The following is a 27908-nucleotide window of genomic DNA, read 5'->3' as shown; positions in this document are numbered from 1 at the left end:
GACTCCGTCTCAAAAAAAGGGAGTAAGCAATGTAGCCTGGAACACTGAGGGAAGTCAGGGCCAGAGATCCAAATCTGAGAGTAGACTTGGTAGCTGAAACTGGAATGAGTTCTTGAAGGCAAGGATATACTGAGCAAGTCACTGCCCTGTTTAAAACTATGAAGCGATTTCTCAGTGCTTTTAGAATAAAGTCGGCCATTCTTTTTTTTTTTCAAGTTTTATTTTATTTTTAAAGATGGGGGCTCAAACTCCTGGCCTCATGCAATCCTCCCGCCTCAGACTCTCAAGTAGCTGGGATTACAGGTGCAAGCCACCATTCCCGGCTCAAATTTTATTTTTAATTGTGGTTACAAACACTCAACACTAACCATTTTGAAGTGTATAATTCAGGAATGTTAAGTATATGAATGTTATTGTGCAAGAGATTTTTAGAATTTTTTCATTTTGCAAAACTGAAACTGTATGCCCATTAAACACTAATTGCCCCTCCTTCCTCCCAGCCTTTAGCAACTACCTCTCTACTTTCTGTTTCTATCATTTTAACTCCTTTAGATACCTCATATGAGTGGAGCCACAGTATTTGTCCTTTTATGAATTTTTATCACTTAGCACAAAGTTCTTGAGGTTCATCCATGTTGTAGCATGTGACAGGTTCTCCTTTTTAAGGCTGCATAATATTCCACTGTATGTACAGACATTTTGTTTATCCATTCACCTGTCAATGGACAACTGGATTGTTTCCACCTCTTGGCTATTATGAATAATGCTGCAATGAAAATGGATCTCTTTGAGATCCTGCTTTGAATCCCTTTGGATATATACCCAGAAGTGGAATTGTTAGATCATATGATAGTACTACTTTTTAATTTTTTTGAGGAAGCTTCATGTTGGTTTCCATAGCAGCTGCATCGTTTTACACAGAATAAGGGTCCATCGTGTGTTTTTGTCTTGTCTTGTTTGGTTTGGTTTGGTTTGGTTTTTTGAGACAGGGTCTCCACCCAGGCTAGAGTGCAATGGCATATGATAGTTCACTGTAACTTCAATTTCCTGAGCTCAAGTGATCCTCCTGCCTTGGCCTCCCCAGTAGCTAGGACTACAGGTACATGCCATCATGCCTGGCTAATTTGTTAATTTTTGTAGAGACAGGGTCTCACTGTGTTGTCCAGGCTGCTCTTGAACTCCTGACCTCAAGCAATCATCCCACCCTGGCTTCCCAAAGTGCTGGAATTACAGGCATGAGCCACCGAAGTCCATCTTCTTTTTTTTTTTTTTCCTTTGAGATGGAGTTTCGCTCTTGGCACAATCTCGGCTCACTGCAACTTCTGCCTCCCAGGTTGAAGCGATTCTCCTGCCTCAGCCTCCCTAGTAGCTGGGAATACAGGTGCCAGCCACCATGCCCAGCTAAGTTTTGTATTTTTAGTAGAGATGGGGTTTCACCATGTTGGCCAGGCTGGTCTCAAACTCCTGACCTCAGGTGATCCACTCGCCTCGGCCTCCCAAAGTGCTGGGATTACAGGTGTGAGCCACCGCGCCCAGACCATCATTTTTAACATGGCTTTCAAGGCCCTGAATGACTGGCAGCTCCCAGAGGCCAGTAGAACCACACATTGGTCATTTCTAACCATGAACCATTGGCTCAAGAAAACCTCATGGCCAAGCCCAACATAAATGGGGCAGGGAAACATATTCTTCCCATGGAGCACAGGGCAGGGGAGAGAGTGAGTATTTGAATAGAATCTGACCTATACCTTCTCCTCCTACCCTTTACTCTCCCAAATTTGCCTCACTACTCCTACTCATCATAAACATCTCAACTTAAACATCCCTTTCCCAGAAGACCTTTTCCCCTTCCCACATGAATTTGGCTCCCACTATTTGCCTCAACATGTATTTTTCCTTTTATGAAACTTAATGTGTTGATAGTTTTTATATAATTTCTCTATCTCCCCCAATATCAATGACTGTTGTGTGTAAAAATAGTGATTTATAACAATAATCATGTTTTAGTGGCTTAAAACAACTACCGTGTATTCTTTCTTATTATTTTTGTGGGCTGGATGGGCACTTCTTTAGCTTGTCTTACCTGGGCTTACTCATGCAATTGCAGTCAGATGATGGCAAGAACAGCTGGATGGTCCAAGCTGACCTCACTCAAATGACTGGCAGTCAGTGCTGATTGATGGCTGTGATGCATTAGCTCTCCTCCTCCATGCCCACTTATCCTCCAGGAGGTTATAGCAACATCCATCCCTATATGGTGGTCTCAGGGCAGTGTTCCAAGAAAGTATAAGTAGAAACTGCAAGTCTAGACTTGGAGGTTGGTCAACATCACTTCTGCCACATTCTATTGGTCAAATCAAGTCACAAGGCCAGCCTAGCTTAGGAAGTGAAGAAAGAGATTAAACCCCTTACTGGGGAGGACAGCAAAATCATACTGTAAAGGGCATGCTTAAGGAATGGGCTGAATTGTTCCTCCCAACACATATGTTGAAGTCCTAACTTTTGGTGCCTCTGGATGTGACTGTATTTGGAGACAAGGTCTTTGAAGAGGTAATTAGGTTAAAACTGAGCTTGTTAGAGTGGGTCCTAATCCAATATGATTGGTATCCTTATAAGAAGAGGAGATAAGGTTCCTGACAGGTACAGAGGGAAGACAATGTGAAGACAAAGGAGAGGATGGCCATCTCTAACCCTCAGAAAAGAGGCTTCAGAAGTAATCAGCCCTTCAAACACCTTGATCTTGGACTTCTAACTGCCAGGATTGTGAGTAAATAGGTTTCTGTTGTTTAAGTAATGCAATTTGTGGTATTTTGTCACAGCCACCTTAGCAAACTAATACACTTACAGAGGCAGGAGGAATTGTCTCAACCACCTTTGCAAACAATCTGCCACACCCCTAAGACCTTAAACTCCTTGTGGTTTGGGGTTCTGTTATTCTTGTGCATCATCGGCATTCAACAAATATTGCCTATTATTAGGCCTGTTTTTTAAGGCAAGAGAAGAGAAGCCAGAGAAGATGGTAAAGGATCAGAGAATTATGAGCGAACCAAAAGAATGTTTGCGTCATGAACACCAAAGGAAGAGAGGATCTTGGGAATAGATCTTTAGATATCTCAAGGAGGACAGAAACTGAGAAATGGCCACTGGATTTAACAATTATTAATTGACACACCAAATAATTCACAACATGGGAAAGACTGGGACTGGTTGAAGGGAAGAAGAGTATCAACCAAGGGACACTTTAAATTCTTACCATATTTTACAATAAGAATATAGACCTATATGTAAACTTTTTTAACATGTCATTTTTTTTTCTTTTGAGACGGGAGTCTTGCTCTGTCATCCAGGCTGGAGTACAGTGGTGCAATCTCAGCTTACTAAAACCTCCACCTCCCAGGTTCAAGTGATTCTCTTGCCTCAGCTTCTCGAATAGCTGGGACTGCAGGTGCACACCACCATGCCCAGCTGATTTTTATATTTTTAGTAGACATGGGGTTTCACCATGTTGGCCAGGCTGGTCTCAAACTCTGACCTCAGGTGATCTGCCCCCCTTGGCCTCCCAAAGTGCTGGGATTACAGGTGTGAGCCACCGTGCCCAGCCACATGTCATATTTTTAAGGACAGTTGAAATTCTCTCTGGGCCCACCTATCCTACCTTCTGTAAGTGCCCACTTCTAATAGTTTACTGTACACCCTCATACATTGCTGGGTAGTACAAAATGGCACAACCCCTTTGGAGGGCAATTTGGCAAAAGCCATCAAATTACAACTGTAATAAATTTTATGTTAATAAAGTTGTTTTTAAAAACTTCAAATGTATAAACCCTTTAGATATACTCACATACATGCAAAATGACACTCTGTACAAGAATATTCACTGCAGCTTTATTTGTTGTAGGAAATATTTGGAAATAATCCAAATGTCTTCCGATAAAGAATGGTTAAATAAACTGTGCTACAGCCACACAATGGAATCTCGTGCTGCTTTAAAAAAAAAAAGGGGGGGGGGGCGAAGAATGAGGAAGCTCTCCTTGTACTGATATGGAAAGATTTCCAAGATAGATGAAGAGAAAAAAACAAGGCACAGAGCAGTTATATGCTACTTTTATGTAAGCTAGAAGGCAAAAGAAAAAAATATATTTAATTTGCTTATATTTCTGTAAAGAATCTCTGGAATGATAAGAAACAAAATTATCTAGAGAAAAGGAAGTAGATAGGGACAGGTATGGGATTATTCTAGATTATGTTCTCATTTACATACATAAGCTGATTAGATTCATATAGCAAATCTGAGGCTATTATTATTATCCCCATTTTACAGATGAAAATTAGAAACGCTGAGTCACTTCCCCAGTTTACCAATTTAGACAGCTGGTGCACATGGAGTCTGATTCTAGCCTACCTCTGCCTGACTCCAGAGTTCACGCTGCAGCATCACTCAAACTGTTGCCTGAGCAAACACAAGCCCCTGATCTTCAGATCTAAAATAAATAACATCAGAGGCAGAATAATCAAAAGTCATAGCCAAACATATTTTAAGATGTTTATCAAATCAGGGAGCTGGAGATTGGAAGATATTTTTTATTAAGGGAGCTGGTTTTACTAGTGGTTTGTGTTTGTTTCTTTCTTGGTTTCCTGGCTTTTCAGATGTCTGTTTTGGAAGAAATCAGTGGAGGAGGGGATGGAAAGATGATCTACTTTGTGTGGTATATACAGTTCCCTTAGACCAGTCATTTTTCACAGATGTTTTTGAAGTTTAGGGTATACTGCTGTTTAGCTCCAGGACATGATGTCCAAGTAAGTGACTAGAGGTACAGGGAGGAAAATAAAAGGTTAAGAAAAGTCCCTTCGCGAATAAGGCTTCTGCTGTTACTGCTGTCAGGTCTCCTGCATAGGAAGGGCTTATTGTCTGAGCATAAATGGGGAAACCTGGAGTTCATCTATCTGCGAGGAAGCTTTGGCACCCAGTTAAATTTCACTGTCTCAAGCTTCCCTTGTGTGTCCTAGAGCTTTTCTTTAACAGTTGTCATGAGGAAGTCTCATTTGTCAAGTTGACCAATTGTCCATTTTTTCCCTGTCATGAGGAAATCCTTTCTTAAGCCAGCTTTATTTTCTAAATGGAAATTTCCAGCCTTGAATGCAGTAGCTGTTGCTCTGGGTAGTCCAGGTCCTAAAGTTCAGTTCTTCAACCACGTTTCCATGGCTGTTACTCACACACAAGACATGAGTGGTCCTTCAGAGGGGTTCCAGTTAGAGTTTTTGGGTGACAAGGATTTTTTTTTTGGAAAGGTTTAGTGAAAAGAGAGCAGGGAACTCAAGAACCCATCAGAGGAAGTGGAGTGTTCTCCCCTAGAATTATTCTCCTTTTGATTTCAGCTTTTCGGATGTAAATGGCACTTGTTTGCCATGATGTCAATTTGGTCCCAAACTCACAAGTCTTTTCCCAAATGGCAAAAATAGAGAAATAGAGAATGGAGAATGGTTGCTTCTCCCCAAGGCTGGTGATTCCTGTCCCATCACAGTGGCCTACAATGGCAGGACTACACAAAATTGTTGCCCTAATTCCAAACCACCTTATATATGTGTTGTCCTTGTCTTTCAGCAAAGCAGACCTCTCAGCTTGCTCCACAGTCACTCAGGACTCCTGGCATGACTAGACCAAGCCTTAAGATCCTTTTGTTCTGGAGGCCAACCCTTTCCTTGACTCATAACAACTAGTAGAAGATAGAGTGAATCATAGCCACAATACTGATGAAGTTTTTTACATTAAAACTTTTGGCCAGGCGTGGTGGCTCACACCTGTAATCCCAGCACTTTGAGAAGCCAAGGCAGGCGGATTGCATGAGCCTAGCAGTTCAAGACCAGCCTGGGCAACACAGTGAGAGCCCATCTCTACAAAATAATAAAATAAAAAACTATTTGGGAGGTGGTGCGCACCTGTAGTCCCAGCTACTCAGGAGGCTGATGTAGGAGGATCGCTTGAGTATAGGAGGTTGAGGCCATGATAACGCCACTGCACTCCAGCTTGGATAACAGAGAGAGACCATTGTGATGTGCAACACGTGAAAGAGAATTATCACTCTCTTAGCAATGGAACAGGTATAATCCCCAAAAGTCCAAGTCACTGTCAACATTAAAATACGAACCTGAATTTGTGGGCTGGTAAAAGTTTATTGGCTGAGTGAAAGTGCCTCATCATTTTCATTCAGACCCCCAGTTCATTAGTTTGACCATTGATTCATTATTCACTCATTCACATTGATTGAGTCAGGCATTGTACTAGGCACTGGGATTACAAAAGAGAACAAGATAAAAATAATCCCTGACCTCAAGGATCTTACAAACCAGCCATTTTTTCCCTCCCCTCAACACTCTCACCAACTTGAAACTGTTCCTCCTCCCTGATCTTCATCCACAGAGCTGTAAGCAGAGGTACAATTCTGGTTTATAGAAATGCCAACTGTCACTGGAAAAATTCCTTTAGTATATCAGCCTCGAATTTAAGAAATAATTAAGTTTAAAAATAATTTTCATTGTATAGTTTTAAGTGGTTTTCTTATTTGTAAAAACAATTCATTTGAGCTTCACAACATATCTGGGCTGGGTGGAAATCACTGTTTCATTTTTTTCTCTTTTTTTTGAACAACTTTATTGAGATATAATTCACATAGCATACAATTCACTCATTTAAAATGTACAATTAAATGGTTTTCAGTATATGCAGAGTTTTAAATACAACCATCAGCACAATCAATTTTGGAACATTTCATCAACCCAGAATGAAACCTGTACCCATTAGCTAACCTACTTTATGTCCTTAGATTTAGCTATTCTGTACATTTCATGTAAGTGGAATCGTGAAATGTATGGTCTTTGTGTCTGGCTTCTTTCACTTAGCATAATGTCTTTAACGCACATCCACATTATAGCACATGTCCATACTTCATTCCTTCTCACAGCTGAACAAGATTCCCTTCTGTGGATATATCACATTTTGTTTATCCATTCATCAGTAGATGGTGTGTTTAATTTTATAAGTGAAGAAACTAAGGTAAATAAGTGCCTGGGTTGGGACCATTCAAAGCCAGGTCCCCTGGCTCCCAATCCAGGGCTCATTCCATTAAATCTACTAGGTCCCATAATTTTAAAGTGCATGTTCATTCCCACACATTTGCCTAAGACATTTTTGAATAGGGAATGAAACTAAGAAATGCAAATGCAGTGCAGACTAAGCTGCTTTCTTGGTTTGCTGTTGTTATTTGAGAATTTTTTCCCACTTTTGAGGGAAAAAAAAAAGAATTTCAAGAGAGAAAATGAATTCAATTAAAAATGGTTCTTTGTAAGACATAGCCCTCACTGTTGCCCCTGCTTGTTTATCTAATTCTATTTTTCTTTTCTCTGTTGTTCTGTGTATACAAGTCATGAGTCACCAGAATGGGCCTGTGGGAGCTGAGAGAGAAAGAGGGAAAATAAGTTCTTGATTAAAAAGTAGCACATCAGAGGTCAACAACCATCACAGTTTAGCTTCAGTTGCCAAAGTTGTCTCCAGGGATATTCCAAATTTAGAAAACCAATAAAGAAAGACATGGGGATGATAAGCACTGAATGCTGGATAGCTGTTACCTCTGGGTGACAAAGCAATGCATTCAGGGAAGGACACACATGGGATTCAAAGATATCAGTAAAGTTTTATTTCTGAGGCTTAGTGGTGGATACACCAATGTTAGCAACAACCACACAGTTCAGCTTCAGTTGCTGAAGCATAGGCTCCAGAACCCACAGGCCTTAAGAAAATGCTGTGCAGTTCATCCTGATTCCTCTCCTCTATTTAACAGCTTTATACACACTTAGATGAGACCTTTGAGAGGTAGGGGAGAACGCTAGGGGAGGCTACTATAGTAAGGATAATAAAGTTGAATAAATTAACCCAGAAGCATTGGAATTAAACACCAGCCTAGTAAGCCAGGCTAAGAGGAGGAGGCTGATATAAACAAGAAAACATTGTTAGAACTTATTATGCAAAATGTTACCTTGAGGTTGCAATCTGATTAGTTTTTTGCAATTCATCTCTTGCTTCCTCTTTTTGTCTCCAGCTTTCCTCTCTTCATAGGAGGGGGTGGGGCTTCTTATTCCAGGACCCCTGTTCCCCTAAGCAGCCTAAAACTAGGCAGATCTATTAGCCAGGACCGTCTCTGTCAATAATGGCTGCTCTTCCAGTGCATTTTTCAGTGTGTAAGATGTAATTCTAAACATATGCTGATTCCCACATGTTAGCTCCTATTCTAATGTAATGCTCTGTTGTGGCTGGGAACATATTGAGTCCCACAAATGAGTACTTGTGGACAATGGACCTCTTTGGGGGAAGGAGCCCCAAGGGAGAGGAGGGAAGAGTGTTTATTCCATTAATGTGTATGTGTGTATCTCCACCATAATTTCTGAAGGGACTGGAAACAAGACATCAAGGCAGCTAATAAAGTACTAGAGAGAACTGCCCCTCTGCTTTGGAGGGGGTTGGGTGACCAATGGCACCTGGAGGGGTGGATGAACCAAGTCAATAAAAGTTCCAAAATAATACACATACTGTGTTATGGCTGCATTGGCTTAAAAATTTTAAACTGTCTCTGGGGATATTCTAAATTTAGAAAACCCATAAAGAAAGACATGGGAATGATAAACACTGAATCCTGGATAGTCTGTACTTCTGGGGGACAAAGGAATGCATTCAGGGAAGGACACATATGGGGATTCAAGGATATCAGTAAAGTTTGATTTCTGAAGCTGAGTGGTGGATACACCAATGTTAGCATCATCTATTCATAATGGTGTTCCTTTGAAAAAAAAATCCCAGTTTTACTGACTACTAAGGTAAACATTGATAGGCATAGCCCACATAAACAAGAGCTCCTGTAGAGCCTCAATTTTTAAATATATACAGTGGCCAAATATGCATAACATAAAATTTACCATTTAACCACCCTGGTGTTTTCTTAGTCCTAACTGGCTCTCATGTGACAGGTAATAGGGGAATAGAATCATCATGTCACAGAAACCAAATTAGCTCATATGCTATTTTTCCAGTATGTTTTGAAGTGACTAGAATGAGCTTTCTCACAAAGACAAAGCCTTCCTCATCTTTGAGGACCCTAAGGAAAAAGCAGAAAACCGAAAACCCCATGGAATTGCATTTTTTTATTAGACTTAGTGGCTTCAAGAACCTCTCAATTTTTCACTATATTAAGCTATTTATGGAAATTGACAGTTCAGATGAAAAATTTTTAAGTCATATCTCTTTATGTTTAAAATGATTTCAGAAAGCTACCTCTAGATTGTATTTTTAATTTTGGTGACAATTTTCTCTCCAGGAAGCAAATGTCCTCAAGGACCTTCATGTCTCAGGAGGAAACAGGTGTACCCAGATACAAAGCTGCAAAGGAAGGCCTGGCTGTATGGTTAGCTGCAAACAGCAATAGAGAACAAACTGTGCCAAGATATTTATTAGTAGAGTTGTTTTTATCAGGGCTCTACTTAAAAACTTCTTAATGTTTTGAGTGGTCTGCCCTTGACCCTATTTTTTCCATAAAACTTGTGATGTATGATTTTGCTGAACATGAGATTTTTTAAAAATAGAAAATTGTGCCAGGCGAGGTGGTTCACACCTATAATCCTAGCACTTTGGGAGGCTGAGGCAGGCAGATCACGAGGTCAGGAGATCGAGACCATCCTGGTTAACACGGTGAAACCCCATCTCTACTAAAAACATGAAAAATTAGCCGGGCATGGTGGCACACGCCTGTAGTCCCAGCTACTTGGGAGGCTGAGGCAGGAGAATCGCTCGAACCTGGGAGGCAGAGCTTGCAGTGAGCCGAGATCACGCCACTGCACTCCAGCCTGGGCGATAGAGTGAGACTGCGTCTCAAAAAAAAAAAAAGAAAGGAAGAAAAAAATTGTACAAAATTGTATAAAAATGTATTGTTGCAGGGCATGGAGGCTCACACCTGTAATCCCAGCACTTTGGGACGCCAAGGCGGGCAAATCACAAGGTCAGGCATTTGAGACCAGACTGGCCAACATAGTGAAACCCTGTCTCTACTAAAAATACAAAAATTAGCTAGGCATGGTGGTGCATGCCTGTAATCCCACCTACTCGGAAGGCTGAGGCAGGAGAATTGCTTGAACCTGGGAGGCGGAGGTTGCAGTGAGCTGAGATTGCACCATTGCACTCCAGCCTGGGCGACAGAGTGAGATTCTGTCTCAGAAAAAAAAAAAAAAAAAAAAAAAAAAAAAAAAAAAATATATATATATATATATATATATATATATATATATATATATATATATAATTATTGTTTTTCTTTTCTACTTTCTGGGCTGATACTAACCCAGGGGTTGTGCAAATCAAAATGGCCTAAGTAATCAGGAAAATGTATCATTTTATACAATCTGATATTCCAAACAAAGAGTGGCATATGTAGAGTGGCATAATGATGTCATCAAGCACTAAATACTTTATATTATCTCCTCTGCTAGCCTCAGCACCTTGGCTTTCATCAGCAGCTTTTCCTCATGGTTACAGGATGGCTGCCATAGCTCCAGTGCTCACAGTGTCACACAGCTATGTTCAGAGGCAAAAAGAAGTTTTTGCTATAGAGTCTTTTTTGATTAGGGAGAAAATTATTTCTAGAACCCCCCACCTTAGATTTCCCTTCAGGTCCTTTTGGCCAGACTTGGATTACATGGCCATCCCCTAGCTGCAAAGGAGGCTGGTAAATGAGTATCTAGCATTTCTAGCCTTCAGAGAGGAAGGCAGCCCTACCACCAAGGAAAATACATTGAGAATGGCTCTTAGGTTGGCAATCAGCACTGCCACCTGAGGCAGGAGGTAACCAGACAGGTCTGTCTGCCAACAGAACCTACGCCTTTAACCTCTGCTCCATGATGTCACCTTTAAGATTCATCCAGCTCTTAAATTACCTTTCCATCACAAACACTGTAATGTAACCACACCCCCAAACTCACTCTACACCTTCTTCTCTCCCATCCGTGTACATGAAGTTCCCTCAACCTGAAATTCTGCCTCTTCCACATCTGCTTTTAGACATAAAGTCTACTCTTAATAGATGCTACTCAAACACCACTTTCCCAATAAAGTCTTCCAAACAACTGTGGATAGGCTTTGCAACTCCTCTCTGGTCTCCTGTAGCATAAGGGAACACCCTGTGGACTCCACAAGTTTGGTGATTGAATTGGACTGTTTTGCCCTCTGAGTTTCAGAAGGAAATGTAATAAAAAACAGATTTCTCTTCACATAATAGGGTATTGGGGAGGATTTGAGTAAAGTGATATTACACAAAAGAGCTACCAAAATACTTAACATTATCAGTTTTTTGTTTTATGCTATTTGTAATATATATACATATATGGCTCTTGCCCAAATCATTTAGGTAATTTACTTAAAAATAATTAATTTCACCTCCCAAATTATTTGAATGACGATTTTAACTCCCTGTTTTTTTAACTGTTAAGCACTGGTCTCTATGAGTTTTTAAACTGCTTCTCAAAATTAGCAAAATTATAATAATTATTGAACCTAGGTGATGGATACATAGGGATTCAGCACATTGCTCTACTTTTGTGTATGTTTAATACAATTTAAAACTATTTTGATAGGACCTCTGGTTTCTGCTTCTGCACGTAAGGAGCTTGGAAGTCCATTCTATCTTAACAGCAACTACAAAGCTGGACAGGCTGAAAAATCAACAACTCTTCTTGCACCTGTAAGAAAGGTGAGGCCATAGGAAAAACTGCTGTCCCCAAGATTGGAGACAGACAGGCAAATACAGCTCATTGGAGCAGAGGCTCATGAGTGGAAACCACCACAGAAACTAGGTCCCTCCCCTAGAGACCCTGATTTGCTATCTCTGAGGTAGACCCTGGAATCTGTACTTTAATAAGTGCCCCTTGGTGACTCTTCGGTACAGACACATTTAGGAAACCAGGTGAGTGATTAAGATGTGGACCCTGGACACTCTCTGGATGCACACCACCTCGGTTTGAATCCTGGCTCTACCACTCATAGTATGATCTTAGAAAAGTTACTTAATATCCATAAGCCTCAGTTTTCTCATTTGTAAAATGGTAACAACCATAGCTATCCCACAGTATTGTTGTGAGGTTTAAATGAGATCATGATAATGAAATAATACCAGTACAAGATTTGGGGGACTTGATTTAAGAAAAATTGGCTGGATGTGGTGGCTCATGCCTGTAAATCCTAGCACTTTGGGAGGCCGAGGCGGGTGGATCACTTGAGGTCAGGCGTTCAAGACCAGCCTGGCCAACATGCTGAAAACTTGTCTCTACTAAAAGTACAAAAATTAGCCAGGCAGTGGTGGCGCACACCTGTAATCCCAGCTACTCAGGAGGCTGAGACAGGAGAATTGCTTGAGCCTGGAAGGCAGAGATTGCGGTGAGCCAAGATAGTGCCATTGCACTCCAGTCTGGGCAACAAAGTGAGACACTGTCTCAAAAAAAAAAAAAAAAAAAAAAAAAAGAATAGCAAAGATATCTTGAATTTACAATTTTTATGAAACCAAAGGACTATGTGAACACATTGTTAGGGCCCAGGAAACTTTATTAACTTCATGGAAAATCTGCCTCTGTGTAGTTATTATTCTATTTTGCCTAGACTTCATGTATATCATTTCTTTTAGTTTTTGCAATGACCACATGCAAAAAGTGTTATTTTTACCACTTTATAGTAGAAGAACCAAAATAGAGGCTTAGGGAGATGGTGGTCTGCCCAAGACTACACCAAAAACAGTAGCTGTACAAACCCAGGACTACCATGTTCCAGGGCTGACCAGTATTGTGAGGACCACATAACGAACATGCACATTCTGTCTTTATTAGTCCTCCTTTTAGGTGAACAACCCTGTGGAAGTTAAAGAGAGATACAGAGTCTCAACTTAGTTGGCTCTTCCTTCCATATTACGGTGGGTCACCATGGAGCTGGGACTGTTCTCAGCTTTGAAGCCAGAATCTCAAGGTTTCTATTACATGCATGCTCTAGCAACTAATTGGTTAAACAAACTTGCAAAAGGCTGACTGAACAAATGTAATGCCAGTGTGTTCACGCATAATGGGAGGGTGCCTGCCTCATAATCAGTGCAGTCAAAGGGCTAAACCACAGATCAGAGGACAGCTTGGTAAACCTGGAATCAGAAATAGGAGTTGGGTTTCATGATGAGATAGTTTCATCAAACTAGGCTAACCAAATGAATTGCTATTTCTTCAGGGGAGATACGCAGTCATGCATCACTTAAAGATGAGGACATGTTTTGAGAAATGCATCATTAAGTGATTTTGTCATTGTTCAAATATCATAGAGTATACCTACACAAACCTAGATGGCTTAGCCTACTACACACCTAACCTATATGGGATAGCCTATTGCTCCTAGGCTACAAACCTGCACAGCATGTTACTGTACTGAATATTGTAGGCAATTGTGACACAATAGTATTTGTGTATCTAAACACATCTAAGCATAGAAAAGATGTATAATTTTTTTTTTTTGAGATGGAGTCTCGCTCTGTTGCCCAGGCTGGAGTGCAGTGGCATGATCTCAGCTCACTGCAAGCTCTGCCTCCTGGGTTCACGCCATTCTCCCGCCTCAGCCTCCCTAGTAGCTGGGACTACAGGCACCCACCACCACATCTGGCTAATTTTGTTTTTGTATTTTAGTAGAGATGTGGTTTCACCGTGTTAGCCAGGATGGTCTCAATCTCCTGACCTCGTGATCCACCCTCCTCAGCCTCCCAAAGTGCTGGGATTACAGGCGTGAGCCACCGCGCCTGGCCAATTTTTTTTTTTTTTTTTTGAGACAGGGTCTCACTCTGTCATTTAGATTGGAGTGCAGTGGCACAATGACAGCTCACTGCAGCCTTGACCTCCTGGGCTCAAGCGCCCATCATTGACCAAAATGTCATTATGCAGTGTGTAAGTGTACATCTGCCAATCAAATAGTGGTTGAGGTCAGGAATCAGAATATCAGCTCTCTCATGGAAGCATTGGTCAAAAGGCAACAAATTCTCTCTGTCTAGTTCTCTTTTAAAGCAAATTGCCGTAAGCATAGTTTGACCTGTTTTGGTTATCAGTGTCTAAAAACATAATTTTACCTGTTTTAGGAAATGTATTGGCTCACATAACTAAAAAAATCTAAGGGCAACTCATGGCCAAATTGGGGCTCAAAAGATGTGTTCCCTTCCATGTGTTGCTTAATTCTTAGGCTTCACATGGAAGTAAGATGGCTATAGCTGCTGCAGCCATCAAACTTCAAGTTCAAGTACATTAAGGTTCAAGTACAACATATGTCTTAATCCGTTTTCTGTTGCTATAACAATATACCTAAGACTGGGTAATTTATAAAGGAAAGAGGTTTATTAGGCTCACAGTTCTAGAGACTAGGACGTTCAAGATCAGGCAGCTGCATCTGGTGAGGGCCTCCTGCCACATTATACTGTGGCAGAAAAGTGGACGGGCAAGCAAAAGAGACCAAACGCAAAAGGCAGCCTTGCTTTATAACAACCCACTCTCATGGGAACTAATCCAGAACTGAGAGAACAAGAACTCACTGCAAGAGTAAGGCATTCATCCCTCTTAACCATCTAATCATCTCTTAAAGGCACCACCTCCCAATACTGTCACACTGGAGTCCAAGCCTCAACGTGAGTTTTGTGGGGATAAACCATATTAAAACCATGGTAATACTGGGGTGGGGGAAAGAGCCTCTTTGTGCTGGCACTAATTTAACTGATTTCAATTACTTGCTCACCTTTGAACCAACCATGAGGAATGTGAAATGCTGATTGGCATAGGCCTGGGTCATGTGCCGTTCCTCTTGAGCAGAGGGTGGAGCTCCAGACACTTCATGGGTTGTTGAGAGGTGGCTGCCTAAACAAATACAAGGTAGTCTTGATGGAGAAAAGGGGTAATGGAGGTAAACAACTATGCACTAAACTAAGGTTTTATGCCTTATTCATTAAAGTACAGTTGACAGGCCAAGCACGGTGGCTTACACCTTCAAACCCAAACTTCGGGAGGCCAAGGCATGCTGATCACCTGAGGTCAGGAGTTCAAGACCAGTCTGGCCAACATGGTGAGACCCCCCCACCCCCCTACTAAAAAAAAACAAAAATTAGCCAGTTGTGGTGACAGGCACCTATAATCCCAGCTATTCAGGAGGCTGAGGCTGGAGAATTGCTTGGAGCCAGGAAGTGGAGGTTGCAGTGAGCCGAGATCACACCACTGCACTCCAGTTCAGTGACAGAGCCAGACTCTGTCTCAAAAAAAAAAAAAAAAAAAACAAAAAAACCACAGTTGACAGTGTTATTTGTGTCCTAACAATAACCACATTCCCGTCACACCTTTCTTGGGATACACCCCAGTAGCTCCTTTGAGCCTGGGTGTCTCCCACAAACTGTTTCTTATGATATGTAACTTCTGCAGTTGACTAAACTCATTTAACATGAGTGGTTCAATTTCCCACCTATTATAAAAGGAGAATATACTCTTTTAAAATATATATATATATAATAAAAATGCATAAAGAACAAAAGACTTTCCCACATATAAGTAAGCATTTATCTCACCATGTAAGCATAACCACTATTTCTTTTTCTGGTTTTTTTTGTTGTTTTTTTTTTCGCTTTGAGACAGAGTCTCACTCTGTAAACCAGGCTGCAGTGCAGTGGCATGATCTCGGCTCACTGTAACCTCCGCCTTCCTAGTTCAAGTGATTCTCCTACTTCAGCCTCCCGAGTAGCTGGGATTACAGGTGCGCGCCACCACACCAAGCTGATTTTTTTTATTTTCAGTAGAGATGAGGTTTTTGCCATGTTGGCCAAGCTGGTCTTGAACTACTGGCCTCAAGTGATCCACCTGCCTCGGCCTCCCAAAGTGCTGGGATTACAGGCGTAAGCCATGGTGCCCAGCCCATTCCGGCCTGTCTTCTATGGATAAAGTTCGTTTTTTGTCATGGTCTTTTTTTACATTGTTGTGATCCTCCTGCACATATGTCTGCCTTTTCCCTTAGCATTATGTCATAAACATTTTCAAGGTTATTACATAGGCTTTATTAATATAAATTCTTTTTATAAAAACACTTGAAAAAATATTACAAAAACAATGTATTTGTGGCAAAATAATTCAAATAACACAGAAATATATAAAGTTAAAAAGTAAAATCCCCAGATTTCAGGAATGTGGACTAAACTCATGCTGAAATCTCCTTCATAAGACCCCAGGAAGAGATTTTTTAAAAGATACAAAAAGAAAGAGAGAAGGAAGGATGGAAAAGAGAGAGGGGTGTGAAAGACAATATAGCCACTTTTGAAAACAAGGAAGGACCCTCTCTTTAAAGGCTGGGCAGCATTCCTCAAGGAAGTGAGGAGATAGGAAAGCACAAGTCAAGAAGCCCCAGGTCCTCACCTCCAGGTGGGACTTGAAGCCCAGGGTGTAGGCAGAGGTGTAGCCCAGGTGGCAGAAGGTAAGCTTGGTCAGCCTCTGAAAATGGCCCACACCATCAAAAAGAAAATCTCAACAAAAGCGGGGATTTGCATCTGAGAAAAAATAATTACCAGAATGATGAGGATCTGAAAAGTAGTGACTTCAGATCCTCAGGACGGCTCTCAGTTTTAGCCGCATGCTAAAATCACCTGGGAGCTTAAACAGGAAACAAACACTGTTTTGCTCTACTACACTCAACCCTTCTGACACAAAATGTCTCAGGGCTTATTCTACCCCAAACACCCCAAACAATCCTCCAACTCTTTGGACACCAACTAGGTGTACCACAATTTAATTATGACACTAACTACCTGGAGTTACTGTAGATGCCACAGGTTAAGGGCTCAGTCCCACAAAACTGCCCCCAAACTTCAGATGCCAACTGCAGGTAGTGAGTCCCTAGGTTACCCACACTTCTTTCTAACTTGGCTACAAATTGGAGGTTCCCATTTGCTATGATGGCTCACAGAACTCAGGGAAACACTTATGTTTACCTATGTTTGCCAGCTTTTTTTTTTTCTTTTTTTGAGACAGGGTCTTGCTTTGTCTCCCAGGTTACAGCAAAGTGGAATGGCTATGGTTCACTGCAGCCTCGACCTCCCAGGCTCAAGCGATCCTCCCACCTCAGCCTCCCAAGTACCTGGACTATAGGCGTGCACCTCCAAGCCTGGCTAAGTTTTTATTTTTCATGGAGATGGGGTCTCACTGTGTTGCCAGAGCTAGTCTCAAACTCCTGGGCTCAAGTGATCCTCCCACCTTGGCCTCCCAAAATGTTGGGATTACAGGCATGAGCCACCATGCTTGGCCTGTTTACCAGCTTATTATAAAGGATATGATAGAGAATACAGATGAACAGCCAGATGAAGAGGTACATAGAGTGAGTCCAAAAGTGTCCTGAGGGCAAGAATTGGAGTGCGCCATCCTTCTAACACGCAGATGTGTTCACCAACCTAGAAGCTCTATGAGCCTTGTAGTCTTATGGAGGCTTCATCACATCGGCATGATGGGTTATTAACTCAATCTCCAGCTCTGCTCCCCTTCCTGGAGAATAGGGGATGGGACTGAATGTTCCAAGCTTCTAATCATGGCTTGGTCTTTCTGCTGACCAGTTCCCATCCCAAAGCTATCCAGGAGCCCCCCAAGAGTTGCCGAATTATTAATAGAACAAAGGACTCTTCTAGTACCCGGGAAATTCCAAAGGATTTAGGAGCTCTTTGTCAGGAACCAGAGTCCAAGACCAAGTATTAGAACAAACGATGTACCTAGCACCCCTGTCATTCAGGAAATTACAAGGGTTTTAGGAGCTCTGTGCCAGGGACTGGGGAGGAAAACCACTGATATGTTTTATTATATCATAATGTCACAGAGCTTTTCAGGGTTCATTGCCCACTACTCCCCAGAACAGATATTCCCTAGACTTAACTGTTCATCAGTTAAGTCAGAATTTCAAGTTCAAAAGCTTCAAAAGCAGGAAGCCAACAGTGCAGCCCTCAGTCTGAAGCCAAAGGCCTGAGACCCCCACAGAAGGCCACTAATGTAAGTTCCAGAGTCCAAGAGCTGAAGAATCTGGAGTCTGATGTCCAAGGACAGGAGAAGCGGAAGCAAAACATCTGGCACAAGGAGAGAGAGAGAGAGAGAGAGAACCCAGCAGGGTGCTTATGCCCCTTCTTATGCCTGCTTCGTTCTAGCCAGGTCAATTTTTTTTTTTTTTTTTTTTTAGAGACAGGGTCTTGCTCTTTGCTCAGGCTGGAGTGCAGAGGTGTGATCATGGCTCACAGCAGCCTCAATGTCCCAGGCTCAAGTGATCCTCCCACCTCAGGTCACCTGAGTACTATGAGTACTAGGGCTACAGTTGTGTGCCACCACACCCAGCTAATTAAAAAAAATTTTTTGTAAGGATAGGCTCTCTTTTTGTTGTCCAGGCTGGTCTTGTACTTCTGGCCTCAAGTGATCCTTCCACCTTGGCCTCCCAAAGCACTGGGATTACAGGCATGAGCCACTGCACCCGGCCCATATCAATATTTTTATGTACTTTTTATTGTAGTAGAAAAGCATAACATAAAATTTACCATCTTAACCTTTTTTTTTTTTTTTTTTTTTCTGAGTCAGGGTCTCACTCTGTCACCCAGGCTAGAGTGCAGTGGTGCAATCATGGCTCACTGCAGCCTTGACCTCCCTGAGTTTAGGTGATCCTCTCACCTAGGTGGGACCACAGGTGTGTGCCACCACGCTTGGCTAATTTTTGTATTTTTTGTAGAGATGGAGTTTCGCCATGTTTCCTAGGCTGATCTCAAACTCTTGGACTCAAGCGATCCGCCTGACTGGGCTTCCCAAAGTGCTGAGATTACAGGCCTGAGCCACTGTACCTGGCCTCTGAACCATTTTTAATTGTATGGTTCAGTAATATTAAGTACATTCGCATTGTTGTGAAACAGATCTCCAGAACTTCTTCACCTTGCAAATCTGAAACTCTATACCCATTAAACAACATAAACAACAACTTCCCTTTTCCTTCTCCCCAACCTCTGATGACCATCATTCTCCAAACATCAGTATTTTTTTTTTTTTAGATGAAGTCTTGCTCTGTTGCCCAAGTTGGAGTGCAGTGGTGTGATCTTGGCTCACTGCAACCTCCACCTCCCAGGTTCAAGCAGTTCTCCTGTCTCAGCCTCCCAAGTAGCTGGGACCACAGGCACCTACCACCGCACCCAGCTAATTTTTTTTTTTTTTTTTTTTTTTGAGATGGAGTGTTGCTCTGTCACCAGGCTGGAGTGCAGTGGCGGGATCTTGGCTCACTGCAACCTCCACCTCCTGGTTCAAGTGATTCTCGTAACTCAGCCACCCAAGTAGCTGGGATTACAGGGATGCGCCACCACACCCAGCTAATTTTTGTATTTTTAGTAGAGACGGGGTTTCACCACGTTGGCTAGGATGGTCTCAACCTCCTGACCTCGTGATCCGCCTGCCTCTGCCTCCCAAAGTGCCGGGATTACAGGCGTGAGCCACCACCACCCGGCCCAAACATCAGTATTTTTTTTTTTTTTTTGAGACACAGTCTCTGTCACCCAGGCTGGAGTGCAGTGGCACGATCTCGGCTCACTGCAAGCTCCACCTCCCGGGTTCATGCCTTTCTCCTGCCTCAGCCTCTCTGAGTAGCTGGGACTACAGGCGCCCGCCACCACGCCCGGCTAATTTTTTGTATTTTTAGTGGAGACAGGGTTTCACCGTGGTCTCGATCTCCTGACCTCGTGATCCACCTGCCTCTGCCTCCCAAAGTGCTGGGATTACAGGCGTGAGCCACTGCACCTGGTCCAAACATCAGTATTTTTAAGCTTCTCAGATATTCCAATGTGCAGCCAAAGTTGATTTCTTGTGCTCAGAAAACTAAAGCAGGGAATTATATCCACAAAATGAGAATGGGTGGCTGTAAAATAACAGCACATTATAATTAGAAAGAATTAGCAAAAGATGCTGAAAATAAAATACATGTAATTTTTGGAAGAAAAAAAATCAATAATGCTGTGAATATCAGGCTAGACACGACCATGAAGGCAGTCCCTTCGGATGCCTCACTTCCTAGCACTCATTCAGCCTCTTTCCTCCCACCTGTCCTCTCACCCTTTCTCTAACCCAATCCTAGACCCTGTGAATGTAGTTAAAAGAGCATCATAACAACAGTCTTCCAACCAAGAGCAACAAAGGAAGCTTCCAGGAGGCCAGCAGCTGCAGGTCACAGGGTTTCTGCGAATGTGCTCTTTCTAACTGCTATAGCTCCCCGCTGCCTGAGGCTCTGCTGGATTCCGACTCCCAGCATGGGAGACTCACCTGCAACTTTCGTTGAGAGTACATGGGGAGGGGCCTTGGCAGGAGCAGTTCAGTAGACATCTCACCATACCATTATCTCTTTTCTCCCCAACCTCCACCTTAGATTTATAGGAATATAAAATCTGATTAAAATAGCAATTAGGACAGCTTTAAAGGGAAAAATCAGCTCAAGGAAGCCACCTGCTGAATGTGAATGAAAGGGGATCCTCCAACCCACCCACACCTGCCCTCTGTCTCTACCTGGCCCTAACAGTTACAGGGGGTGGAGGAAGACTTGCTCTATCCCAGGGGCAACTCAGCATTGGAATGAGACAGTGGGAACTGGCAAACACATGACTTGGTTCAGGCTCCTCCAAGTGGTTATGTTGGTGGGCTGAGAAAGGAAGAAGCAAGGAGCTGGTGTTTTGGAACCTCGCAGATCTTGGTTTGACTTCCTGGGCTGCTACTTGCTTACTTGTTTTGGGCCAGAAGGCCCTGGGTTTGAATCTCAGGTTGACCCTTGGACAAACATCTACAGGTGTGGAAGTGAGCACCACGCCTCTAGCTGGACAGGCTTCTGAAGCTGGCAGGCTATGTACTTCCTGCATACGGGGAAAGGGACGTCCTTTGAGACCCCCTTAACAAGGAAAGGCTTGGCTACTGATACACTGGGAGCGGATGGACTACAGGCTCCAGGTACCTCTGCCCACAAGTTCCTTAGCATCTCTCCTATGGCATTCTACCTCCTGACAGCTTCCATGCCAGGTATGATGCTGCTTCCTTCTTCATCAACACAGCCTCACCGCTCAGCATATTGCTGCTTAAGCTGCCCCAATTCCATGGGGTTCCTATCTGCAGCATCAACAAATCCTGAGGGCTTGAGCTGGGGAAGGCATTGAAACAAACGGCTATAATATCCTTCCCTTCTTCTCCATACTGTCTGCAATATCTTGAAAGCTGGAGAACAATATACCCCTTCTTAAATGCCCAGGAAGAGAAGAGATTGGAAAATGGAGCTCCTGGGCCCAGTCTTGCTGGGGGCAAGTTTCTTTGAATCAGGAAAGTAGGTGAGGTAAAGGCCAACTCACTGTCCTCCCTCGCAGGAAGCCATGTCTGGTCATTATATTTTTCCGTGTCTTCCACCCCTACCACCTACCAGGTCTGTTTTACTGTGGTTTTTTTTTTTCCTTATAATAAAGATAATTTAAAAAAAAAACAGATTTGGCTCTAAGTAGACACCTGCTGCAAAGGGATGAGGAGATGGTATGGCCACAAGAGCTGGTCAGTGCCCTGAATGACCTTCCAGTTCCTGACTAATGGCCACAGTGCAGGGTGGTATGATGTTCCTGCTCTAACCTTGAGGACTGGCTGAGTGGCTTTCTGGAGTTCCCATAAAGACATTATTTGTTTTCCTCACTTTCATGAACACCCTTATCTTAGTTGGTTCAGGCTGCTATAATGAAAATACCATAGACTGAGTGGTTTATAAACAGCAGAAACTTATTTCTCACAGTTCTGGAGGGTGGGAAGTCCAAGATCAAAGATTCCATGTCTGGGGAGGGCCTTTTTTTTTTTTTTTTTAGAGACAGGGGTCTTGCTGTGTTGCCCAGGCTGGTCCTGAACTCTGGGCCTCAAGTAATCCTTCCACCTCGGCCTCCCAAAGCACTGGGTTTGCAGGTGTGAGCCACCACGTCTGGCCAAAGGTCACTTTCTTTTTTTTTTTTTTTTGAGACAGAGTCTCACTCTTGTCGCCCAGGCTGGAGTGCAGTGGTGCGATCTTAGCTCACTGCAACCTCCACCTCCCAGGTTCAAGCAATTCTCCTGCCTCAGCCTCCCGAGTAGCTGGGACTAAAGGTGCCCGCCACCACACCTGGCTAATTTTTTGTATGTTTAGTAGAGACAGGGTTTCACTGTGTTAGCTAGGATGGTCTCGATCTCCTGACCTCGTGATCTGCCCGCCTTAGCCTCCCAAAGTGCTGGGATTACAGGCGTGAGCCACCGCACCCAGCCCAAAGGTCACTTTCTGATTCATAGTTGGGCATCTTCTCACTATGTCCTCATGGGGGAGAAGGCATGAGGGAGCTCTCTGGTGTCTCTTTCATTTTATTTTATTTTATTTTTTGAGACAGAATCTCACTCTGTCACCCAGGCTGGAGGTCCTATCATCTCCATTTTACAGATAAGGAAAAAATACTGAGACACAGTGAAATTAAGTAGCTTGCTTAAGGTCACACAGCTAGGGAGTGGCAGAGCCAGGATTTGAACCCAGATAGCTTGCCTTCAGACATTTCAGTCCTAATCACATGGTAATTATTAAGGGTTTCTCTTAAGAAATGAGTATTTATTAATTTAGCTAGTTAGAGACAGAGTCTTGTTCTGTCACCCAGGCTGTAGTGAAGTGAAGCTATCATAGCTTACTGGAGCCTCGAACTCCTGGGCTCAAGCAATCCTCCCAGCTTGGCCTCCCAAAGTGCTGAGATTACAGATGTGAGGCACCATACCTGGCTAAGAATTGAATATTTATTTATTATTTATTTTTGAGACAGTGTCTTGCTCTGTCGTCCAGGCTGCATGCAGTGGCACAATCATGGCTCACTGCAGCCTCGACTGCTGGGCTTAAGCAAGCCTCCCACCTCAGTCTCCCGAGTAGCTGGGACTACAGGCATGCACCACCATGCCTGGATGATCTTTTTTTTTTTTTAAGTTTCAGTAGAGACAGGGTCTTGCTACGTTGCCCAGGCTGGTCCTAAACTCCTGAGCTCACACAATCCTCCCACGTTGTCCTCCCAAAGTGCTGAGATTATAGGAGAACTGAATTTTTAAATTGTACTTAATTTTATGATCAAAAACTCATTTTCCTTTAGGTTGGTCTTTGATCTATTTTAAAGATCACATTGTGGCTGGGTGTGGTGGCTCAGGCCTGTAATCCCAGCACTTTGGGAGGTTGAGGCGGGCAGATCACTTGAGTTCAGGAGTTAGAGACCAGCCTGACCAACATGGCGAAACCCCATATCTACTAAAAATACAAAAATTAGCCTGGTGTGGCGCACGCCTGTAATCCCAGCTACTTGGCAGGCTGAAGCAGGAGAACTGCTTGAACCCGGGAGGCAGAGGTTGCAGTGAGCCAAGATCGAGCCACTGCAATCCAGCCTTTGCAATGGAGCGAGACTCAGTCTCAAGAAAGAAAAAAAAAATCATGTTGTATCTATTCTTTGCTCTCTAAATCTGCCTTGCTACTCCATGGACCAAAACAGTTAAAGAATAACCTGGTTGGACTTTTCAGAAAGTAGCTTTCTAGGAGAGCTTTCTCTCTGACACTATCAGAATCTTTGTTTTTCTGATTTAGCATTTATTAAATAACTACAGTTTGATAGGTAAAGGAAGCAAGATGGAGGTAACACTGCCAGAAAATTTTAAAATGCAGCTAGTTGATTTCCAGCTACCAACTACATCATTCTTCAATTTGCAGATGAGTCAGAATTTTTTTTGAGACGGAGTTTTTTTTTTTTCCGCTCTTGTTGCCCAGGCTGGAGTGCAATGGCACAATCTTGGCTCACTGCAACGTCCGCCTCCAGAGTTCAAGTGATTCTCCTGCCTCAGCCTCCCGAGTAGCTGGGATTATAGGCGCAAGCCACCACACCCTGCCAATTTTTCCATTTTTAGTAGAGACGGGGGTTTCATCATGTTGGCCAGGCTGGTCTCGAACTCCTGACCTCAGGTGATCCACCCGCCTCCGCCTCCCAAAGTGCTGGGATTGTAAGCATAAGCCACCGCGCCAGGCCCAGAATTTTTTAAATATATGTGAAATATACATAAAAGAGTCTAGAAATACGAGGTGTCATTCTGTCATCTCCACCTGTGAGAAACCTGAAAATAGAGGCATTCCCACTGGCCCAATCCTGACACTGCAGCAGGAGCCTCCAAGCTAGTCATTGCCAAAGAGTGGGGCTCAAGAAGTAACCCAGGATGGAAGAAGCCCAATGATCCATCTGGAGTCACTCTGGTGGTTCTGAGCAGAGGCTGGGCAGAGGCACTGTTACACCAAACCACTTATAGCAGGAAGTTAGGCAACAATATTGTTTGGGAGTATCAGCTTCACTCTATGAATTCTATTAGCTACACCCTGACTTTCATTCCTTTGGAGTCAAGGCCATCTTTACTCTAGCACTGGGGTTTCCAAGAACTCAACTGACAGCTAAGTACGCTCCAAAATTTCCTATTGCCTCTGGGCAGCATCACTGTAGGCCCAGCTGTGTGGTCAACATTTACCTTGCAGGTGTGTTCATTTCTGCTGTGATATTTTTGGATTCGAATTATGCTTATAGCTTTTGAGGCTTGATTGTTTACTCACACAGAATAGTTTTTCGGATCATAGATGCAAACTCTTCAAGGGAAGGACTTTCTGAATTATCTTTATACTCCCAGGACTTGGCAGAGAAGCCAGCACAGAATTTAACAAAGTTGTGCTGGCTCATGCCTGTAACCCTAGCACTTTGAGAGGCCATGGTGGGAGGATGGCTTGAGGCCAGGAGTTCGAGACAAAGGTGTGCTGCATGAAAGAATGGTAGTCAGTCTTCCTGTGTGATGCTGAGGGAACATTTTGGTGAGTTTCCCTTTTTCTAGAAATATGTTCCCATAGGTGAGAAGAAAAGGTATATACAATTTACAATCCTGCTTTTTAAAAAAGTTAATATGATATAGACATTTTCCTGTGTTACCATAAATTCTTCCCAAGCATTTTTGGTATGTGCTTGATTAATATTCTATTGTATGAATGTGCCATACTTTTCTAAGCCAGTCTCCTGGTGTTCAGCATTTTGATTATTTTCTGTTATTTTTAATTTTTTTTTAGAGATGGGAACATGTCACCCAGGCGGGAGTGCAATGGCAAGATCATGGCTCACTATAACCTCGAACTCCTAGATTCAAAAGATTCTCTTGCCTCAGCCTCCTGAGCCACTGGGATTACAGCTGTGAGCCACCATGCCTGGCTATTTTCTGTTGTTAACTATTATAAACAGAATTGTGACTAGCTTTTTCATTTGCATTTTGGCTTAGTTTCTTAGGATTCCCTGACCTGGAATTTCTGGGTTAAATGATATTAGTAACTTTTTGCTAATTCAATAGTTGAAAACACGTCATTTTATGTTTTTTTCCTTCTTCTTTTTTTTTTTTTTTTTTTTGAGACGGAGTCTTGCTCTGTCACCAGGCTGGAGTGCAGTGGTGTGATCTCGGCTCACTGCAACCTCTACCTCCCACGTTCAAGCGATTCCCCTGCCTCAGCCTCCCAAGTAGCTGGGACTACAGGTGCGTGCCACCACACCTGGCTAATTTTTTGTATTTTAGTAGAGACGGGGTTTCACCATGTTAGCCAGGATGGTCCTGATCTCCTCACCTCGTGATCCGCCTGCCTCGGCCTCCCAAAGTGCTGGGATTACAGGCATCAGCCACTGTGCCCAGCCCATCTTAAGGTTTTAATCTGTATTTCTTTTCTTGCTAATGGTGCCAGTTTTCTTTATCTTTGTTTACTAGTTGTAGTTCCTCCTTTTCAAACTGTCTGTTCATGTCCTTTGTCGATTTCTTGGTAAGGTCTTAGCATTTTTCTTATCAATTTGCATGAGTTTTTTTCCATTGTAAAGATCCTAAGCCTCATTATATTTACTGAAAACAATTTACCTCTTTCTGTGTTCTGGGTTTTATTATAATGTTTGGTTATTGATATCAATATATTCTAATTTTGCATAACTTAGTGTTTTCCCTTGTGCTTTGTTTCCAACTTTAAAATTATCTTATTTAGAGACAGGGTTTTGCTCTGTGAACCAGGCTGGAGTGCAGTGGTATGATCACAGTTCACCGCAGCCTTGAACTCCCAGGCTCACCTGATCCTCCTGCCTCAGCCTCTTGAGTAACTGGGATTACAGACACGCACCACCAGGCCCAGCTAATTTCCCTTCCAAATCCAATATTGTCCAGCTGCTGACCTTATGACTTTGCAAGCTGCTCTCTCTAAAGTAATCAATGACCTTCTGCTACTTTTCAAATCCAGTGGCACCACTTGACCCTTGGAGGCATGTGAAAGGGCAACAGCACCTCTCTTCTTGCTCTCCTAGGTGGACCCTATTGGTTTTCTCCCTAGAATCATCTACCCTTTGTCATTGGTTTCTCTTTCTCAGTTTCCTTTGCCAGATTCTCCTCATCCTCTTATTTCCAAAGGTTCCAGGTGCTCCAGAGCTCATTCTCCATTAATACTTACTCCCTAGGTGATTCATCTCATCTAGTTCTCTGTTTTTAAATGGCAATTTGATCCTGATGCCTCTCCAATTTCTATTGCCAGCCTCCACCTCTCATCGGAACTCCAGACTCCAACTTCTTCTGCAACATCTTCATTTGGCTATCTAACAGGTGTTCCAAACTTAACATGGTCAAAATCTTGATTTGCTCTCTCAGGTTCATCCTCCCCACCTGAGCAAATGGCATCCTGACCTTAGAGATTCTTATGCTGAAAGGCTTGCAGTCATCTTTGACTCCTCCTTCTGTCCCACCCTAAGTCAATCTTTCGGCAAATCTTATCAAATATATCTAGAACCCAGTCACTCCTCCCCACCTGCATCAACATGACTCCATGATTTTGCTCTCTCTCCCCTGGGCCACTGCAGTAGAATCCCAACTGGTTTACCTGCTTTTACTCTCGCCCTTGGTACCATCTGCTGCCCACATCGTAGATTTTTAAAAGTAAAGCAGATCATGATATCACACCCCTGTGCAGAACCTTCCAGGAAAGTCTCTACCATCTTCTCTAAGTCTCTTCGTGATCCCACCCCACCTCTCTGACTTGGTCTCCTCCCTTGCTCACTCAGCTCCAGGCACCTTGGTTGTGTGATTTGTGAAAGACACCAAGCATGCTCCTGCCTCAGGGAGCTTGCACCTGTTCTTCCCTCTGGCTGGAATGCTCTTCCACAGATGCCCACATGGCTTGCTGCCCCGTGTGCCAGGTTTTACCTAAATGACATTTCATAATAAAGGCCTTCCCTTACTCTGCGTTGATTTTCTTCCTAGCACTTATCACCCCTGACATATGATACACGTTTGTTTATTGCCTGTCTCCACTGACTAGAATATTGTGGTAAGCAGTCTCAAAGTGGTTCCCCATGATCTGAACTTCCTGGTATTCATGCCCTTATGTAATCCCCTCCCCTTCAGCGTGGCCTGGACTTATTGGCAGTAATTCAAAATAAATAAAATATGGTAAAAGTAATGGGATGTCACTTCTGAGAATGTTTTACAAGAAGACTGACTTCTCTCTGTTCCTTTCCACCCGCAACTCCCAGCCCAGTAGAGATGTCCACGTTGCAATGAGCTGACATCTCTGGCCAGTAGCCAGCAGCGACCTGGGGCCTGCCAACTACCATGTGAGTGAGCTGGGGTTAAAGGCTGAATCCTCCCCTGGTTGGCCTTAAGATGACTGTAGCCCCAGCTGACTTTTTTTTTTTTTTTTTGAGACAGAGTCTCGCTCTGTCGCAAAGGCTAGTGTACAATGG

The 27908-nt window shown here is 43.0% G+C and overlaps 1 protein-coding gene across 14 annotated transcripts in view, besides 1 other annotated feature; it reads right to left on the bottom strand.

Moving 5' to 3' along the window:
• The window catches only part of NDUFAF6 (NADH:ubiquinone oxidoreductase complex assembly factor 6), a 222698-nt gene that overhangs the window by 122690 nt on the left and 72100 nt on the right, over window positions 1–27908 (bottom strand). For 3 of the 14 annotated variants that reach the window (NR_148906.2, NR_148903.2, NR_148909.2), the window contains 3 exons: window positions 19824–19990; window positions 14834–14948; window positions 6152–7449 (listed from right to left, as the gene is read on the bottom strand). The exons of 2 other annotated variants lie outside the window; for them this stretch is intronic. Coding sequence is in view for 1 of the 12 variants with exons in the window: in NM_001354516.2 (NP_001341445.1) it covers window positions 14834–14874 (41 nt within the window). In the remaining 11 variants the exon portion in view is untranslated. Of the gene's footprint in view, window positions 1–6151; window positions 9425–14833; window positions 14953–19823; window positions 19991–20391; window positions 20490–27908 lie in introns of those variants that run through there. 9 more of the 14 variants (NM_001354524.2, NM_001354522.2, NM_001354516.2 and 6 more) reach the window with 7 other exon arrangements.
• Window positions 19972–20535: an enhancer, noted in NCBI's record as "NANOG hESC enhancer chr8:95987500-95988063 (GRCh37/hg19 assembly coordinates)". NCBI's record gives its function as "activates a minimal SCP1, AML or CMV promoter by ChIP-STARR-seq in naive H9 embryonic stem cells {active_cell/tissue: H9 hESC(naive)}" and the evidence as "EXISTENCE:reporter gene assay evidence [ECO:0000049][PMID:30033119]".

This window comes from Homo sapiens, chromosome 8 (assembly GCF_000001405.40).
Source record: "Homo sapiens chromosome 8, GRCh38.p14 Primary Assembly".
Classification (NCBI taxonomy): Eukaryota; Metazoa; Chordata; class Mammalia; order Primates; family Hominidae; genus Homo; species Homo sapiens.
This window is presented reverse-complemented; position numbering and strand designations above follow the sequence as displayed.